The 19393-nt window shown below is 33.4% G+C and overlaps 1 protein-coding gene across 3 annotated transcripts in view, besides 1 other annotated feature; it reads left to right on the top strand.

Annotated features, from left to right (window-relative positions):
* The window catches only part of LRP1B (LDL receptor related protein 1B), a 1899594-nt gene that overhangs the window by 974930 nt on the left and 905271 nt on the right, over window positions 1-19393 (top strand). The gene's annotated exons all lie outside the window — the stretch shown is intronic.
* Window positions 17620-17820: a silencer, noted in NCBI's record as "peak3886 fragment used in MPRA reporter construct". NCBI's record gives its function as "represses an SCP1 promoter by STARR-seq MPRAs in K562 erythroleukemia cells {active_cell/tissue: K562}" and the evidence as "EXISTENCE:reporter gene assay evidence [ECO:0000049][PMID:32103011]".

Below are 19393 nucleotides of genomic sequence, written 5' to 3'. Positions count from 1 at the left end.
ACTACAGTTTTATCAGCTATGGTAATTTTAATTTCTTCCTGGATTCTAGAAAGTAGTTGAGTGTTTGAATGTCTGATGGTGATGGAGTTGGAGTCCTTTTATGTTCCTGTAGGAATTATGGAAGAAAGGAGTCAAGGAACATTATCCTGACATCATCTTAAGGTTTGACATCAACTTTTAATTACTTTACACAAGTTGATTTTGAAAAAATATCTTCAGCTACACATAAAATGAATATTAATTTAATATTGTTAAATTATTTGTTAGCTTTGGAAATACTAGTAAATGTAATTTTTAAAATTGTATCACATAATGTTAACTTAGTAAAATTAGAAGACTTCAGTAAAATTCTGTCAGCAAGGTGGCATACAATTTTAATACATAAGGGGTAACTCAGTAATAAATTTGTCTTTGCAGCTGCAAATCCAATTTTTCCTTAGGGTTTCAGAAAATGTGAGTTATTGATGTATAAAAAATCAAAAGTATAGAAGGATATGTGTTTTGGTTGATAGGTGCAGCAAACCACCATGGCACATATATACCTATGTAACAAACCTGCACGTTCTGTACATGTATCCCAGAACTTAAAATAAAAAAAAATAATAATAAAAAGAAAAAAATAAAATAAAAATGGAAATTAGAAGTGTACCCCCTTGTTCAGCCATTTCCAGAAAAATAGTATATTTCATGTACTTACCAATAAAGCTATTTTGATGATCACATAAGAAAATGTAAGTATGCAAAACCATATATAAATATAAAGCATTATTGTGTGAATTATTTAAAAAGGGTAAACTTCCAGTAAAAATTAAAACTTTCTGAACATTAAATTTATTTTTATTACTAATGTATATATTTTCCAAAGAAGGTTATTAAGTAAGATATTTGTTTCTCAGAGACTTAGGGGGAAAAATTTTGTCTTTAATTAGAGGCCAAAAATTATGTTTCCACTCTAACAAGTGGTCAGATTATATTATTTCCTGTATGTCTAAGAATCTGGCAATGAATTTCATTTTCCTATGAATTTTTATACTCTTTAGTAATACTCTGTAAACTACTTTTGTTTTATTTTTACTGCTACAGGCAAAGTAATGTACAGAACATTTATTATAATAGGATAGGAATATTATTTAATTCTGGGAGCCCTAGAAAATATTTTTCACTGGCTATACTGAACTCTTTCCCTGATTATTGAAAGGAGAAAACACAGAAAACTGGAAACCAGTTAGAAGGCAACTAAAATAACACAAGAAAGATTTTATGCAATACTGACCTAAAGCAGTAGCTGTAGGGACAAAGTGAAATGACTTTTTAGAGACATGTAGAAGTAGTAACAGATAAGAATTAGTGAAAATTCAGAATTAGAGGATGATTCTGGCTTGGATTATCAGATAATAATGGAGTGTTGAACTTTATTGTTGAGCATCCAAATGCATAAATGAAAAAAAAATCTAGAAAACATTCTGATAAAATAAGCTTTTAAAGGTATATAATAAGCAGTACAGCCATTATTCTCCCTAAAGAGTATTCTCAAATGTCTTTAATTTCTGATTGCTTGAAGAGAAAACTAAGGAGAAATTAGCCCATAGAGAGATGAAAAATTTGAAGCTGTGACATCGTGATTTCTTCTCTAAGGGAAAATATAATAAACTGCATTTTAATTTTTTAGGATAGTCTCAATAATTACAGGGAGAAATTGTGAAAACTATTGGATGAATAAAATAAGAATAAGGGATTTAATCAAAAGTAATATTTAAAAGTGTGTTCCACTTCAGTCTTACATAAACATTTACCAATTTCAAAAGATGATTTCTGGTTCAAAATTCAAGATGTGAGATGTTTATTGTTGACTTGCATGAGAAATTCTAGGGTGTGTCAGTAACAGAGTTAGAAACACATTCAACTTCATTCTTTAAACTATAGTCTTTTCAGTCGTATTAGCTTGTAATCTATTGAACTGAACAAGTGAACAAAAGAGAAAATAAATAATACCATCAGTTTATATGCCCAGGGCATCTCATATCTAACATAGCAGACCTCTCTCCTCATTTCCATTCTAGCTTGTCTCTGCAACATAATTGTATTTATTTCTACCTTTACTGTTTTGCTATTCTCAGAGAGGAAGACTGATGGGACCAACAAATAACAATAGTTAATCATTAAAATGAGTGGCAGATCTCCTCCTTTCCTTGATTATCCACCCTAAAGAAGTTTCTGGTTCTTTTTACTTCCTTATTGTTTCCCATCCTGTCTTCCCTATATATTTAAACAGGAATCCTTATTTCTTCTGTTTACCAATTAGTCTCAAATCCTAGGATTAAGACAATACAAACAGCATCTTGAAGATATTTCCTAGCTCCCACGTGTTCAAGATTTTACTCATTTAACAAAAATGTACAGGGTAGTTTACTGCGCTATGTGAGAAATAGATATGTAAAGCTATATAAATATATATATATAGCTGATATATAATATATTATATATAAATATATATAGCTAATATATAATATATTATTATATATAAATATATATAGCTAATATATAATATATTATATATAAATATATAGCTTATATATATTATTATATATAAATATATATAGCTAATATATATATTATTTATTATATATAAATATATAGCTAATATATAATATATTATATATAAATATATATAGCTAATATATAATATATATAAATATATAGCTTATATATATTATTATATATAAATATATATAGCTAATATATAATATATTATTATATAAATATATATAGCTAATATATATAATATATTATATATAAATATATATAGCTTATATATATTATTATAAATATATATAAATTATATATACAAATTATATATATAATATATATATGTGCCTTCTAAAAATTTACATCCTGGTAGGAAACAAATATACAAAGAAATCACTGAAATGTTTGGTAGTATAAGTTAAATGGAAGAAATCTACAAATTTAAATAAGTGTGGATCTTTTGCCACCATTTAAATTGTAGTCAGTTTCATGATAATATTTAAGGTGGTTCTTAAAGAATGGTTAAGATTTCATATGATCATCTTTTGTAGATCAAAAATCTTAAGATTTGGGTAAAAACTAGAAAAGTACTGTCTAAGAGTAAACTAAGTGTACCTTCGCTTCCTGAGTTTTAGATTCTACAAAGAATATATTAAATTTTAATATGACAAGGACAATACTAAAAATAATAATAAAATTTTGGAAAGTGTAGGTGTTGGTATTAGTATACAAAAGACATGTAAAAATGTACTTTGCCCATACACAACAAAGAATTTAACCGATTCATTCATTAAAGATAATGTGATAATAAAATATTTGAGAAGGAAACTATTGGAATAGTAATATCTATTGGTATTATATAATAATATATGCTATTATTATGTGTAATACCATATATTATTCTTTAGCAAAGAAATTGATAAAACCTCAGACTGGCTCATCTGCGAAATCCCTGGTGTTTATATTTCCTGTCTGAGCCAGGGTGTATACATTCTCATGGACAGTTATTGGGAGTCTAGCAAGATGTCTTTCATTCTGTTCCTGTTTTCTATTTACTGGCATGTTTACATTCCTCACCCAGAATATTTGTCATTTGTTAGGGAAGAAGGTGGAGTTGTTCATTTGGAATAATTTTTTCCTGAGTGTATTTTTTTTCTATTTCCAGATACATTACTTATTAGCTGTCCTCAAAACTTCATAGTTAGTTCGGTTTAGAGAAAATGAAAGAATAAGAATTTTGGAAACCTAGTTATTGTCCCGAAATGCTGTGCAAAGTGTTTTACAAACATTCTCACTACAATTCTATGAGTTACCTATTATTATTTGTACTCTAAAGACGAGGAAACTTGAATCTCAAATAGTTTGCATGGCTAGTAATTGGTGTGTCTATTTCATTAATCCAGGCTTCTCCTCCTATACTGTGCTGCTTCTTAAAAAAAAGAGAAGAAATAATTTACAGAAGTGAGCAAACGGCTTCATTATGACCCAGTTAGATCCTTTCTTACTGTGTTATACATTCAGACAGATCAACATTTATTCTTATCTTTCTCCAGTGCATAATTATGAACTGAAAAAGCAAGATATTAAATATTATTAAATATTAAATTACTATTTTTCTTATATTTGTGTCAGTATTAAAGTGACATCTTGCCATAGTTATAAACTTCCACAAACAGCCAAAATGATTTTTCTCCATGTTTAGTTTGGCTTAATGATTGTTTGAGCAAGAACACTATCTGGATTTTGCCCTGATGGCAAAAGTTAGAAATGGAAACAACTTAGTTGTCTACAGAAATGCTGAGTCTAGACATCAAGCTTGGTTGTATTACCAGGAAAAAGGATAAAAAAGATATTGATCTAATACTAGCTCGAGACTGGGATCCCCAGCATATATGCAGGATTATAATTTGTTGTTATTGAGTGATTGAATCACAGAACTGAAAAAGAGAGAACAAAATTGTGTGAACTGGGCAATGTATAGCTCCAAAAAAGTAAAGAAAATAAAATAAGCAATTGTGTCTTAGCCATCTTCATAATCTATGAACAAGACATTTAAATAGACTACTATATTATAGATGTAGTATCAGCTGATGTTTTGATAGTATGATATAGGTGGTCAAAAATCTGATATTGATGAATATAATGTTGTATTCCTATGTTCATTAGGAAGTCCTGCTTTCTTGGGTATTAGATATGCCTGCATGGCTTTTTTTGGCCAATGAAGTATGAGAAGTAGTAACCTGTATCACTTGTAGGCAGAGGATTCTAGAGCCAGTGTATGATTTACTGCATTCCTTTTTCCTATCTAAATGATCATGAAAGCATGCATTGAAACAGAACATCCATCTCCATAAGATCCTAAATTACTACAATGAGATCTTCGGGTCCTCCACATAGCATTGGCTAGAAATAAACCATTATTTTAAGGCATGGATAATTTGAAGTTCTTTGTTACTGCAACATAAATCTGCCTATTCTGTCTGATACGCATGTTGTAAATTCCTTGATAGTGTGAATTGTACTTTACCACTATATCTCTACTACTAAAATAGTACCTAAATATCAAATCTGTGAATGACTTAATGACTGATGACATATAAATATTTGTTACCCTCTTTGATTATAAAAGTTAAAATAGCATGGCAAACACACACACACACACACACACACACACACACACACACACACACAAACCAGCATGACAATATGAAGGCCATCTGCAAATGAAGAGAAGTTATTTACATAATGTGTGGACCAGAAATAAATGTATTTCACTGTTGGAAGGCAAAGGATAACACTAATTGAGCTAAGGAGCAGGAAGAAGCGCCTTGAGACTTCCATTAGTGAAGTCACTTAAGGCTTTTGGCAATCACAAGACTAGCAACAGGGATTTTGGACGTGAAATAATTCATTACTTTTTTTCACATGAAAAATGCTGCATTAGGAATTTAGTTGTACTTCATGTGATTCAAGCTGTGTAACTTTCTCGTAGCAAAGAAATATGAATTGGACTTATAAATTGCTGAGTACTTTCTCCAATCCAAAAATCCAGACAATTCTGACATGCATAGATGGACAAAGTTGATTAATGACCAAATAGAGTGAAGGGAAACACTTTGAGTATTAGAAATAGAAATGGGAAAAAGAAACAAAATATAGAGAAAGTTTTGTGATCTGAGGAAATACAGCAGAAACCTGCTCAGATTTCTTTTTCCTGCTGAAATATAGTTATTCTCTCAACAAATACTAAGGGAGCAGATCAGAATAAACAATGTATCTTTGAACTTACTAGTAAACTTTGATACTGGTTAAGAGCACTGACAAGTGTGTCTGTAATTTGACAATTCATTGTTTTGTTTGTTCTCATCCACGTATTGGTGTCACTGTCTGTGTCCCTTAGGAAAACAGTTCAGTAGATCCTTAAGCTCCTGCCTGATGCCTGTTCAGTGGACCTGGGTGACATGGCCCACTTCATAACCACCACTGCTCCTCCCTCCCACCCTCACAACCTCACACCCATTCAGTCCTCAAGTTCCTGGTGCCCATTCTATTCTTTGCAAGCATCTTCCAACTATTCAAAAAACCTCTCTAAATAGATTTGTGAGAGACACTAGTCTACCAATTTATTTCAGTTGGCCTCCAGGGATTTATTTGCAGAAGGAAAGGAGAAATTCTGTGTTGGAGAATCTTGTCTATACATAGCACAGATACTACTTTGTTTGACTGATTGCTTTTAAATCCCAACTCTTTTTTTAAGAGGGTCACTTTCCTTTGTTCTTTCCTGGAGGTTGCAGGCCTGCTGCGAACCTGTTCTTTCCTGAAGTATAGAATTCTCATCATGTTGTAACTAATTCTGAATTGTCTTGGGAAGCAAAGACTGAAGCCGACGCAGTGCCTCAGGCCTCCTTCTTCCTTGGTAGTTTGGGGAACATCAAGAGTAGTCCCTTGGGCAGGGGTTTGCCATTTTCAAGGAGGACATAAGCAGTCTCAAGTGGATCAAGGTAGTGCTATAAAGGAGTTGTAGAATAGAAATACAAGAGAAAGCTGTTTATGCTATAAGATGTCCCTTACACTCTACCGTCTTCTCTCACTTGAAATAAAGGTAAACCATTGAGAAGATTAAGTTCTGCTTTATGCAGGTGGGTGCAAAGGTTATTAGGCTAGCAAAATGTTAATTACAACTATTCACGTAATATTCTTAATGTCAACTGGCTACCAGAGTCTAGAGAAATTTAGATCTCATAGGTAATGGTGGTTTCTCAGGCCATAGTGGTCAGAGGAAGGAAAACTAGTAGTATGAATACCATAGCCTAACAATAGTAAAACAAAACACCACCACCACCAAAAAAACAAAACAAAACAAAACAAAAAAAACCCTTTTTATTCTGAGACCTAGCAACAAAAAATGCTGTATTCCAAGCAAGTTACATTTCTCTTGAACATTCTTTCCACCCCTCAGGAATTCCTCACTTTTTTTTTTGAGAGATCGCACCACTGCACTCCACCTGGGGGACAGAGATCTCGGCTCACTGCAACCTCTGCTTCCCAGGGTTAAGTGATCTTCCTGCCTCAGCCTCCCGAGTAGCTGGGAGTACAGGCATGTGCCACCACCATGCCCAGCTAACTTTTTTGTATTTTTAGTAGAGACTGGGTTTCACTATGTTGGCCAGGCTGGTCTTAAACTCCCAACCTCAAGTGATCCGCCTGCCTCGGCCTCCCACAGTGTTGGGATTACAGGCGTGAACCACCATGCCCGGCCTCCTTGTATTATTTCTATAAGAGTCACTCTACTTTTCTTCTCTGCTTTGGAACTTATGTATAGTCATTTCTATTATTGTTCCACTGAGAACATCCATCACTTGAATCTAAGATAATGGTATTTCATGCACAGGGATACTTTTCCTCTTGTTGGCGTTATAGATACCTCTTTATCGTCATGAATACCAGACTTTCCAAAGATGACAGATTCCTTCAACTGGTATGTGGAATGGATTGCCTCAGGCTACCTTTCAGTTCAATACTGGGAGCCAAGTGGATTACCAGCATGCTGCCACTCCCAGCCCCAGAACAGAAGAAACAGTATATATTCTCTCCACGTGGCTTCTCCTAAGGCCAGGGCTGCTTTCCACCAACAAAACGTCTTTCCTCCTGTAGATTAATTCCCCAGGATTCTTTGGAGATTCATCTGCACAAATTGATTATTGCCTATCTACACAGCTACTTTGGATTTTCAAGTTATTTTTGATTATTAAAGGTGACAAGTTTAGGAACCTCAGGCATAAAGATCAGCATGTATCTGAATTAGACTGACCTCATTGGACACCAGATTATATCCTAGTACATAGACAGATGTTACTCTGGAGTATATCTCTGAAACCACAAGGCCCAATTCACAACTGTTACTAGAATTGAGACTATTCCTGAATGGATATTGCCAAGAAAGCAACTACAGTCACGCATGCTTAATGACAGGGATACATTCTAAGAAACTCATTGTTAGATGAGTTTGTCCTTCTGTGAGCATCATAGAGTGTACTTACACTAACTTAGTGGTGTAGCCTATTTCATAGCTAGGCTATATGACATAACTTACTGCTTTTAGGATATAAACTTGCACAGCATGTTACTGTATTGAATGCTGTAGACAGTTATAACACAACGAGAAGCATTTGTGTATCTAAACATAGAAAAGGTAAAAGAAAAGGAAAAATACGGTATTATAAACTTATGGGACCACTGTTGTGTATGCAGTTTATCATTGGCTAAAATGTTATTATGTGGTATGTGACCGTACTTCAAAATATTATCTCCATTTGCTCATTTGACATTATTTGACATAGCAAGGCAAATGCCTTTTCTAATAGCAGGCTATAAAAATGTGCCTCAAATCAAAATCTCAATAAAATGTACTTGCAACTATGGATAGACACATAATTGATTTTTTAAAGTAAATGGAAAACACTGGGCTAGAAATCCCCTAAGTCAGCTGAAATTAGCAGGAGTGCCTGACATTAAGTTCCTGAGACTTTTTTATTTATTAAAAAAAATGCTCTCTGTTAATACATATTTTACTTTTGCATAATTTTAATACGTAAAACTGTGAACATGAATATAAACAAATTATGTAACACAGGGTTTCCTACAACTCTATTGTTGGACTATAAAGGACAAGAAAATAACAATTTTTATCCCTCTAAAATCAGCTCTTGTATCAGGGTCCTCATAGGAACCTCACATGGTTTAAGAATTTGATAGACTGCTTTCAAAGGGGTGAGAGAATTTAGAGGAGCCAGTAAAGGATGTTGAGGCACTGAAGAGCCTAGAAACCACAGGAAGCCCTTGCCACTCCTAAGCCTAAAGGGCAAGAGGAGAAAATTTCTCTACCAGAGCCCAGTGAGACATGGAACAACCTAAAAAGTGCTATAATCCTGGGGGAATGCAGCATGTTCCAGAAAATATGACCCAGAGCAGAAAAGGAGGGGAGAAGAAAAACCTAAGTCTCTTTCTTTCAGTCCTCTGATCACTCTTGATCTTCACTGGCTGAATTTAACCAGAAGCTAGTAGGAGGATGCTCAGGTGTGTAATCCACAGGGATCAGCTTCCTGGGGCAAAGAACAGAACAGAACAAAGGATCTTTCTTGTAACAGTGGTGGTGGTGGGAGTAGAGGCTGGAAAATAGAGAGAAACCAGCACAGCTCGTCTTTTTACTTGTTACTGTTTTCATCTTCAAGTGGATCATAGTAATCCCAGTCCTCTTAAAGTAAAAAATAGCAGGAAAACGGAGAAGAACAGCCATCTATAGTTGATGGGAAAAGTATCTTCTATGCGTTAATATCATATTGCTGCCAAGAGAGTGGAGGACAAAAATGGCCTGAAATCAAGCACATGTACGTGTCATATGTATAGACAACCATATATGTGTGTGTTTATATTCTCTTATCTATAGTTATCACTTACCCTTTAATAAAGCAGGGATATTCTACATGTGCCTAATCACTCCCTTGATACATTTGTGAAGTAAGAAATAGAGAATCTCATTTATAGCTTGCTAACTTTTAACATTTTTGTGGAGAACTGAAAAATTGCCAGTTAATCTTTGTAAATAGAGCACACGACATGGTAATATAGGTTTGTATTAAAAACTGCTTTCCACTAATTATTTCAATATAATGTGCTTTCACTGTATTTAAGAAAACAGATTTCCCTCCAAACATATTAGAAAGAAAGGTGAAATAATGTGAATGTAAATAAAATCTTTGAATACTGCCAAGGAAGGAGAGTGAACCCGGCATGGGAGGAAACATGAAGACTAATAGGTGGTAAGAGTGAACTAAGAAGATGAAATAACATGGCTTATGCCTGTAATCCCAGCACTTTGGGAGCTGAGATGAGCAGATCACTTGAGGTCAGGAGTTCAAGACCAGCCTGGCCAATATGGCAAAATCCTGTCTCTACTAACAATACAAAAATTAGCCGGGCATGGTGGCATACACCTGTAAGCCCAGCTACTCTGGAGGCTGAGGCAGGAGAATCGCTTGAACTTAGGAGGTGAAGGTTGCGGTGAGCTGAGATTGCACCACTACACTCCAGCCTGGGCAACAGAGCAAGACTCCATCTCAAAAAAAAAAAAAAAAAAAAGAAAGAAAGAAAGAAAAGAAAAACGTGAAATAACACTAAAACCTTGTAAAAGACATATTTTGAATATCATAGAACCTAAGAACCAATTCCATCTGGGCGCAGTGGCTCATGCCTGTAGTCCCAGCACTTTGGGAGGCAGAGGTGTGCGGATCACCCGAGGTCAGGAGTATGAGACCAGCCTGACCAACACGATGAAACCCGGTCTCTACTAAAAATACAAAATTAGCCAGGCGTGGTGGTGCGTGCCTATAATCCCAGCTACTTGGGAAGCCGAGGCAGGAGAATCACTTGAACCCGGGAGGCAGAGGTTGCAGTGAGCTGAGATTGCACCATTGTACTCCAGCCTGGGCAACAAGAGCAAAACTCTGTCTCTAAAAAAAAAAAAAAGTTTAATTAAAAAATAAAACTTAGAAAAACAGTATTTTATGACAGGTATGCTAGCACACCAACACTGTTAAATTTACTCCACAGAGCTTTATGTGTCTTTAAAAGTAGTTTATTACATAGTATATGCAATGTAATCTATACGAATGAAATATAAGAATATCATTTCTGTGATAAACTTTTCAGAGAAGTGTACAGTGTACACTTATATACAGTATAACTCAAGTTCTGTGATATAATTAGCACACGTAGAACTAAGCTAAATTTAAAAGCGATATATTTTCAGTTATTAAATATTATTTGCTTATAAGTAATTATAATTTTAATAGCAAAACTTTTTAGACTAAACTAATAGTGATTGACAGGCATTATTAACATTCATTAGTTTATGCGAATCTAATATTGTCCACATTAAAATAGAGAAAAATTCTGAAAGCAAAAAAAGTTTCTTAAATTTTTAACTGTTAAAGAAATCACTTGTATAAGTTAGAAAAGAGCTTGGGTTCTCTTTCGAGATAGAGCCAATTTGTCTGTTTGCTCAGCACTTAATGATTTTGGAGATATTAGTCAACAAAAAGAGTACTAATAGCTTTTGGAAACATTAGCCTGAGAACCATTTTCCATTTAGTCTGTAGTTAGTTAATCGAGTGCATGTTCATTTATCCATACAAGCTATAAAATCCTACAATGAAGATGTAATTATAATTGACATTACTGACCAGTTAAAAGGCATAAACAGTAGTATGCCCATCAATATGCACTTCCTATTTGCTGACATTTCCAGTTATGCCAGATGGTGACTTTAATGATGGTGCCTTGCGGTGCTTCTAATAATTTTTGTGCCTGATGGTACTTTTATAGGGCCTGTTCCATCATAGAAAGCTGAAGGGTGACTTAATAATGATCTTCTAGCGTATGAAGGGTCATGAAGTGTATGGTTATAAAGTGACCAGCTGTTACTCATTCATATGAGAAGTAGTAGATTTTTAACTGTAACTAGAGAGATTTAACTTAGATATAACTTAGAACTTCCTGATAATAAAAGGTATTGAATGAAAGGAACAATGAGAGATGCTAAAATTTTTCTTAAGGATAGAAAGTGCTCATCTGCATGAAATGATCAAGTTTACTCTTATTTTGTGGATATGTCAGTTTCATTTCACATCTAAGAGTTATATTTTTCATATTTCAACACTAACTTGGTTCAAATTCTGGTGACAACTTATTGGCTATGTGATGTAGGATAAGTTAGTTACTTAAATACATTGCATCTTGATTTACTTATCTGTAAAATTGAAATGAAATCTTTCATCTAAATATCTAGAGACAAGTCTAAAATACTATTAACTCTAAGGTAAGGTTGAATTTCTTTCTTTCTTTTCTCCTTCATAAAAATGAGAGTAGACAGGTCAAAAATTTCCTTTTAGCTGGATCTGAATATCTTACTTAGGAGTGTCAGAATAATGAAGACCTGTGTGATAGCAGAGAGCAATATAAAACCCTCAATTTTTAGAGGTTTATATCCTACCCAAACACTCACTAGGAATGCTTTTCCCTCATGGCATTAAGTCAGTGTAATCTGTTAGAAAGAGAAGGCAAAAGACCTGGTTCTGTTTAGACTCCTGCAATTACTAACTGTGTAACCCCAAACCAAGTCATTTAACTTCTGAGTTTTATTTTGATCCCCTGGAAAAAAAAAAAAAGATTAGGAAAGCTCTTGACAGATAAATTCTGATGTCACCTCTGTCATGGGGAAATGAGACAATGTGGGAAGACTGGGGGGAGATAGAGCTCAAGAGGTTGAGAGTTGAATTTTCTGCTCTAGTGGTTTATTTGACCCTGTGTATCAAGTGAGAAAAGGCAGTTCTGATGAATGAGAAGGCAATGGGATGGCACCAAACCTCAGGACACTTGCTTAGAAACTATTTGTTTGAAAAATAGGATGTTCCAGGCGCTGCTCAAGATACTAGGAATTTATCAGTATACAACTCCAATAAGATCCTAGGAATTTAGCAGTATACAACTCCAATAACATCTCTGTCTTCATGGGGTATTAAGAGAAAAAGCCAATAAATAATTAAATAAATTAACCAGATTATTTCAGAGAATGATGTACTAGGCAAAGAGAAATCAAACTGGGTAGGGGATAATAAGATTACACCTACAGGGAGGAGGTAAATCTATGGTCCAGAGAGGCCTCTTTAAAGTCATGACACTTAATGCTATCCCTACATAAACAGGACGAACTCAGTCATGCAAAGATATAGAGAAAAGGCCCACTTAAGGGCTAGAGATAAAGAATCAGATGATCTCTGGGTGCGGTGGCTCACGCCTGTAATCCCAACACTTTGGGAGGCCGAGTGGGGTGGATCACGAGGTCAGGAGATTGAGACCATCCTGGCTAACGCGGTGAAACCCCGTCTTTACTAAAAATACAAAAAAATTAGCCAGGCGTGGTAGCACGCGCCTGTAATCCCAGTTACTCGGGAGGCTGAGGCAGGAGAATCGTTTGAACCTGGAAGGCGGAGGTTGCAGTGAGCCGAGATCGCGCCATTGAACTCCAGCCTGGGCGACGACAGAACAAGACTCTGTCTCAAAAAAAAAAAAAAAAAAAAAAGTAATCAGACAATTTGTTAATCTGTTGCCAGTTCACTCATTCAAACTTGGGGAGCCTCGAGGTGCAACATTGATGAATGTATTGATTAGTTCTGTTCTTGGCTTTATCAGTCACTAATCTCCCTCTGTTCAACAGTTTATTTATAAGTAAAATGTAGGAGAAGCAGGAATGTTATGAGCACATTCCTATTATGATTATTTTCACTTTTTCACTTCTAAATGCTATGATTAATCCCTGTCTTGACTATTTCACAAGGTAGATTTGAAGATGAGATAGTAGATGAGAACAGGTTCATTGAAGCCTCAACTCATTGGAATATTAATATAAAAAAACTATTTTTTCTAATCATTGCTTTCAATCATGTTCTGTTGTCATCTACTTTATATCTTAACAACATCATAGGCAGATACCATAATTTTCTGGTATTAGTACTATAAAATGTAAAGAGTCCTTGTTAAAGGTGGTAATATCAATTAATGAGTTATTTATGCTGAAGCTTAGGGAAGAAAGGACCTTTCACAATGGTAGCAACTAGGAAGTTTTTGTCTGTAAGTGGCTATAGGGGCTCAAGAACTAAAACTGAAGCCGATGTTTGCAAACAAGTTAGAAATTGAACTGCTAGAATAAGCCCAATCATTAGTGTTTTGTCTAAGAGTCTAGAACAGCTGTCAACACGGCAACCTCTTCTCAACATTCAGAGGCCTGTAATGAGACAGCATCTGGTGAGAAGGTGTCAAGGTTCTTTCACGTCTCAAATGTGGAAATCAGGACATGGCAGTTAAAGGAGTTTGGAAGATAATTAGGGTATTTTAAAGAATAGATTTTTTTTTTTGTTATACCAGATTGTTGATGCCTTTATAAACAATGCCTTAGGAGAATCAATAACTGTAGGTGTTTCTACTACATTTTAGAAAAAAAAAAACCCTATCGTTTTGTATTGTGGCCCACAATATAACATTTATTAGCCTTTTTGTTGATATATTCTTACATACATTGAAACAAGTATCTAACCAATGCACAAAATAGTGAATTATTGCATTACTGAAAGATAAAGTGGCTTAAATTATATAAACTATTTTTTCACATACAGATTGCCATTTTCTTCTTCTCATTATTGGAAGACTAAAGCAGCAAATATGTCTTCATTGACAAAAATGTGTAAATAAAAACTATTCTTGGTGACTGTTTCATTTTCTCTCTTTACATGTTTTAATGTCCTTAGAAATTGTCTTATAAGCAAAGATTACTTCCTAATTAGCTAAATTTAATATTCATACAAGGTCCATAAGTTTATTAAGGATGTGGTAATTAAATTTAAGTTGACATTACAGAGTTACACAATCATCGTTGATGATAAAACTTTGGCAAAAGGAAAGATTTAAAAATTTACCTATCTTGTCAGTAAAGTAAGTGAGTCCAAAGATTTGTAGCATTATCTAAAGTTCAAATGAATAAATCCTTTAAAAAGAAGTAAGTTATCATAATTCCGTTTGGTTAAACCTGTGTTTGCATTCTTAGTATCTTAAATATATTACGGAAACAATTGATTTGACACATAAAACCATTTTAGGACAATCAAAATAAATGCTTCATAAAAATGAATAATTTTAAACAGATAAAATATAGTTGTGTAATCTTTCAGTCTTCTCTAAGATCAAGAAAAAAAAGATGGCATTACTTTAAAAACTATTAATCCGATCTGATTTGTCCGACGATTAACCATAACAAAGTTTACTATATAAACTGAGGTTCTTATAAATCTTCTGTATTCGTTAACCAAATAACAAAATGTTTCAGACGTTTTAATTAATGCATTTTTACAATTATATTTTACTAACTTAATGCCCATTTCTATTTCTTAATTTCTTATCTAGCAATTAGTCATTGCCCACACAGCTAAATTGGAAGTTACTGTGAGAGAGAGATTGATTGCTCTCCACCCTCTACCTCGAAGGACCAGCACAGTTAAACATTAAAAATACAATTTCTTCATTCAGAGGAAATCTTTGAATCCTGTATTAAATTTATATAAGTGCTTATTTATAATTATGTATATTATATATAATTGTATATTTACATGCTTATCTCAGTAAGTCAATCAGATTAGCGGTTTTTTCGCATTTTTAAAAACACTTGTATTAGTTTGCTAGTCTGCTATAACACAATACCAAAGGCTGGTGGCTTAAACAACAGAAATTAATTTTCTCACAGTTCTGAAGGGTGGAAGTCCAAGGTCAAGGTGTCAGCAGGTTTGGTTTCCCCTAAGACGTCTGTCCTTAGCTTGCAGATGGCTGCCATCTTGCTGTGTCCTCACATAGCCTTTTCTCTGTGTGTATGCATTTCTGGTATGTTTTCTCCTTGTTAGGACACCAGCTCTATTGTATTAGAGCCCTACCCTTAGGACCTCATTTAACCCTAATTACTTCTATATTAAAGGACCTATCTCCAAATACAGTCTTATTTCAGACTAGGGCTTCAATATTCAAATTTTGGGATAACACAATTCAGTCCATAACAGCACCCAATGTATATCATTTAATCTTTTTAAGAACCTTATTAATAGATTTCTTTTATTCTGATTTAAAAAATTTTTATTATTATATAATTGACGTTCAATAAGCGACACGGTTGAAAGACGTGATGAAATATATATGTCAGTGGAAACATTACTACAATCAAAATAATGATCCTGTACATCTCTCCTAAACGTTCCCTTGTGCTCTATGTAGTTTTTCCTCCCCCTTAAGAAAGAAGTGATCTGCTTTCTGTTACTACAGATTAATTTGGATTTTCTACAGTTTTATATAAATGGAATTATACAGCACACACTCTTTCGCCTGGCTTCTTTCACCCAGCATAGTTATTTTGAGATTCATCATGTTGCATTTATCAATAATTAATCTCTTTTTTTTTGCTGAGTAGTATTTCATTTTACATATATACCACAGTTTGTTTATTCATACACCTGTTGATGGACATTTAGCTTCAAGTTTTTTTCTATTATAATAAAGATGCTATAATCATTTGTGTACAAGTATTAGCATGAAAATAAACTTCCTTTTTTCTTGGTAAATGTGAGTAGAAGGGATAGGTTATGTGATACACACACACACACACACACACACACACACACACACACATTTTTCCAATGTGGCTGTACTTTTTTTACATTTCTACCAGTAATATATAAGAATTTCAGTTTCCCTACATCTTTGCCAACACTTGGTCTAGTCGGTCTTTTTTAAATTCTAGCTATTCTAATAGATATGTAATTGTATTGCATTATCATTTTACTTTATATTTGTCTGCAGTTACTAATGATATTGAATTTTTTTTCATGTCCTTATTTGCCATTCATATATTCCCTTTGCCCTTTTTGGCCTTTGCCCTTTTTGTGTAGGATAATTTTTTTTTCTTATTGGAGGGTTTTGAGTGTTCTTTATATATAGTATACACCAATATTTTATCAGATAAAAGCCTTATAAAGATTTTTTTCCCAATCTGTGACTTATCTTTTTATTCTCCTAACAGTGTCTTTAGAAAAATGAAAGTTTAATATTTGATGAAGTTTATCATTTTTTTTATAGACTGTGATGTTGGTGTTAAATTTAATCTTTGCTTAACCAAATGTTATAAAGATTTTGTTTTATGTTTTCTTCTAGGAGTTTTATAGTTCAGGACTTTACATTTCATTTTATGATTCATCTTTTTTTAGAGGATTCATATCGAGTTAATTGTTGTGTATGGTATAAGGCATGAATCTAAGAATATTTTGCATATAGATGTCTAATTTTTCCAGCACCATTTGTTGAAAAAACTATTGTTTCTCTACTATAGTGCCTTCATATCTTTGCCACAAATAAGCTATTCATTTAGCTATAGATTTATTTCTAAAATATTTATTCTGTCCTATTGATTTATCTATTTCATAAATATCACACTATTTTGACTTTATCTCAATTCTTAAAATTAGGCACTCTTATCTATCCAATTTTGTTGTTTATCCAAAGCTGTTATTGGCTATTCTAGGTCTTTCAAATTTCTATGTGAATTTTTAAATCATTTTCCCAATATTTACAGAAAGTGTGACCGACTTTAGAGGATATTTCATTGAACTGATAAGTTTGGAGAGAACAGACATCTTGACAATATTATGCCTTCTACCCCATAAACAAGGCCTATCTTTCATTATTTAATGTCTGTCACAATGTTTATTGTTGTTATGTCCATATGTCCAGGTCTTTCATATATTTCAAACAATAAATTCATATTTCAATGCTATGTTCAATGGTACTTTAAAAAAATTTTAGTTTCCAATTGTTATTTGCCAGTAAAAAAAAAAATGACATTTATATTGCATTCTTAAATCTTGCTAAATTTACTAATTCTAGTATCTTTTTAGTAGATTCCATTCAATTTTCTATATAGACAATCATGGCATCTGAAAATCACTTCTTTTCTAAACATGGTTGTCTTTTAATTCTTTTTCTTGCCTGAGGGCACTAACCAGAGTTTCAAGTACTGTATTGAATAGAAGTGATAAGAGCAGATCCCTGTCTTGTCTTGTTCCTGTTCTTAGTGGGAAAGCTTTCAGTCTTTCACCAGTAAGTATACTACCCGTAAGTTTCTTTTATAAAATCCCGTTATCTATTTGAAGAAGTTCACTTCTAATCCTAGTTTGTTGAGAATTTTTGTCAGTAATGGATGTTAGATTTTGTCAAACGATTTTTTTGTCTATTGAGATGATTTAATTTGTAAATATGATTAATTACATTGATATTCTAATACAAAACAACCCTGCATGATTGGAATAAACACCACCGCTTATTAATGACATAGTATCCTTTTAATATATCATAGGATTTAATTCGTTAAATTTTAGTTCGAAATCTTGGATCTAAATTTTGTGGGAGGTAGATCTGTGGTTGTCCATTTTTATAACACTTTTGTCTGATTTTGGAGTCGTGGTAGTGATGACCTCGGAGAATAAGTTGGAAGTACTTTCCTTGGTACTACACCTTTCAAATTAAAAAAAAAAAATCCATAACATGGCAAAGGAACTATTACAAGTGAAACAGTGTTGTAACAATATCTACCTAATAAAATATCCCATTGAATGTTTTCCAGGTGTATTGGGTAAAAACCTAGGCTCTTAACTTGAAACTTGGGTTCAAATACCAACATTGCCCCTATTTATTTGTTGATGAATAAAATATCATTATTGCATGTGTGACATATATTTTTAAATGCTGGAGGACCAAGACATTTAGCCTTTTCCCTCAGCTTTATTGCAATATTATTCACAATACAATTGTATATATTTATCAAAATATAATAAGTACGTGAGATAATGCATATGTTAACTAGCTCAGGTTAGGCATTTCACAGTGTATACATGCTTCAAAACATCATTTTGTAGCCTTTTCTTTCCTTTAACTTCAATCTTTCAATATTAAGGCAAGCAGTTCCTGGAAACCTTTACATCTCGCCTGCAAGAAGCACAGCTTTGAATCTTATCAAGAGATCAGAAATTCTGGTAAACTGTTTGGGTCTTTAAAGTCCAGGAAGTGCCGGTCTCTGGCTAGTGTTCCAGGAATGATGACATATATGCAGCAGTTCTGAGAACCTACAGATATGTGGGCACTTTTCTCCCCTCTGTAACTAACATATAACCTAATTTCCTAATGCTAAGTCTATTAGGCCGATGTTCCTTAGACCCTTTGCTTGAGTCTTTAAAACTGAATTTGACAAAGCATTTAAAAATTATAACAATGGAAAAATATTCCATACCAGAAATTAGAGTATTACCTACAAAATCTTTTTCAATTCTCATTTCATGTGATTTAAAAACTGGCCTTATGTGATATTCATAATAGACTTTTTTTCGAATAATGAAAGACTGCACATTTTGTTAGAATCATTATTTTGACAGTGTATGGATTTCATAATTTAATCTCTGCTTTCAGCTGGAGGGAAAATAGTATCTATAGAACTGAATACCAGATATAAATGCATTTTCTACTTTCTTTTAACTCATAGGTTTATACAAACTGTTTCATCTTCATGTCATGTACTTCTCTCCTGATATACCTGTGATAGAAGTTCTGCTACACCGAAAATCTAAGTCAAATTCACGCTTCAACCCATATATCTTTCTCCTCCCTAATTGGCAGTTTCAGGGCATTAATAGCAATTTATGTAGCTAATTACTTGGTAGATACTTACAAA

Source organism: Homo sapiens, chromosome 2 (assembly GCF_000001405.40).
Source record: "Homo sapiens chromosome 2, GRCh38.p14 Primary Assembly".
Classification (NCBI taxonomy): Eukaryota; Metazoa; Chordata; class Mammalia; order Primates; family Hominidae; genus Homo; species Homo sapiens.
Note: the sequence above shows the minus strand (reverse complement) of the source record. Positions and strands in the feature narration are given on the sequence as shown.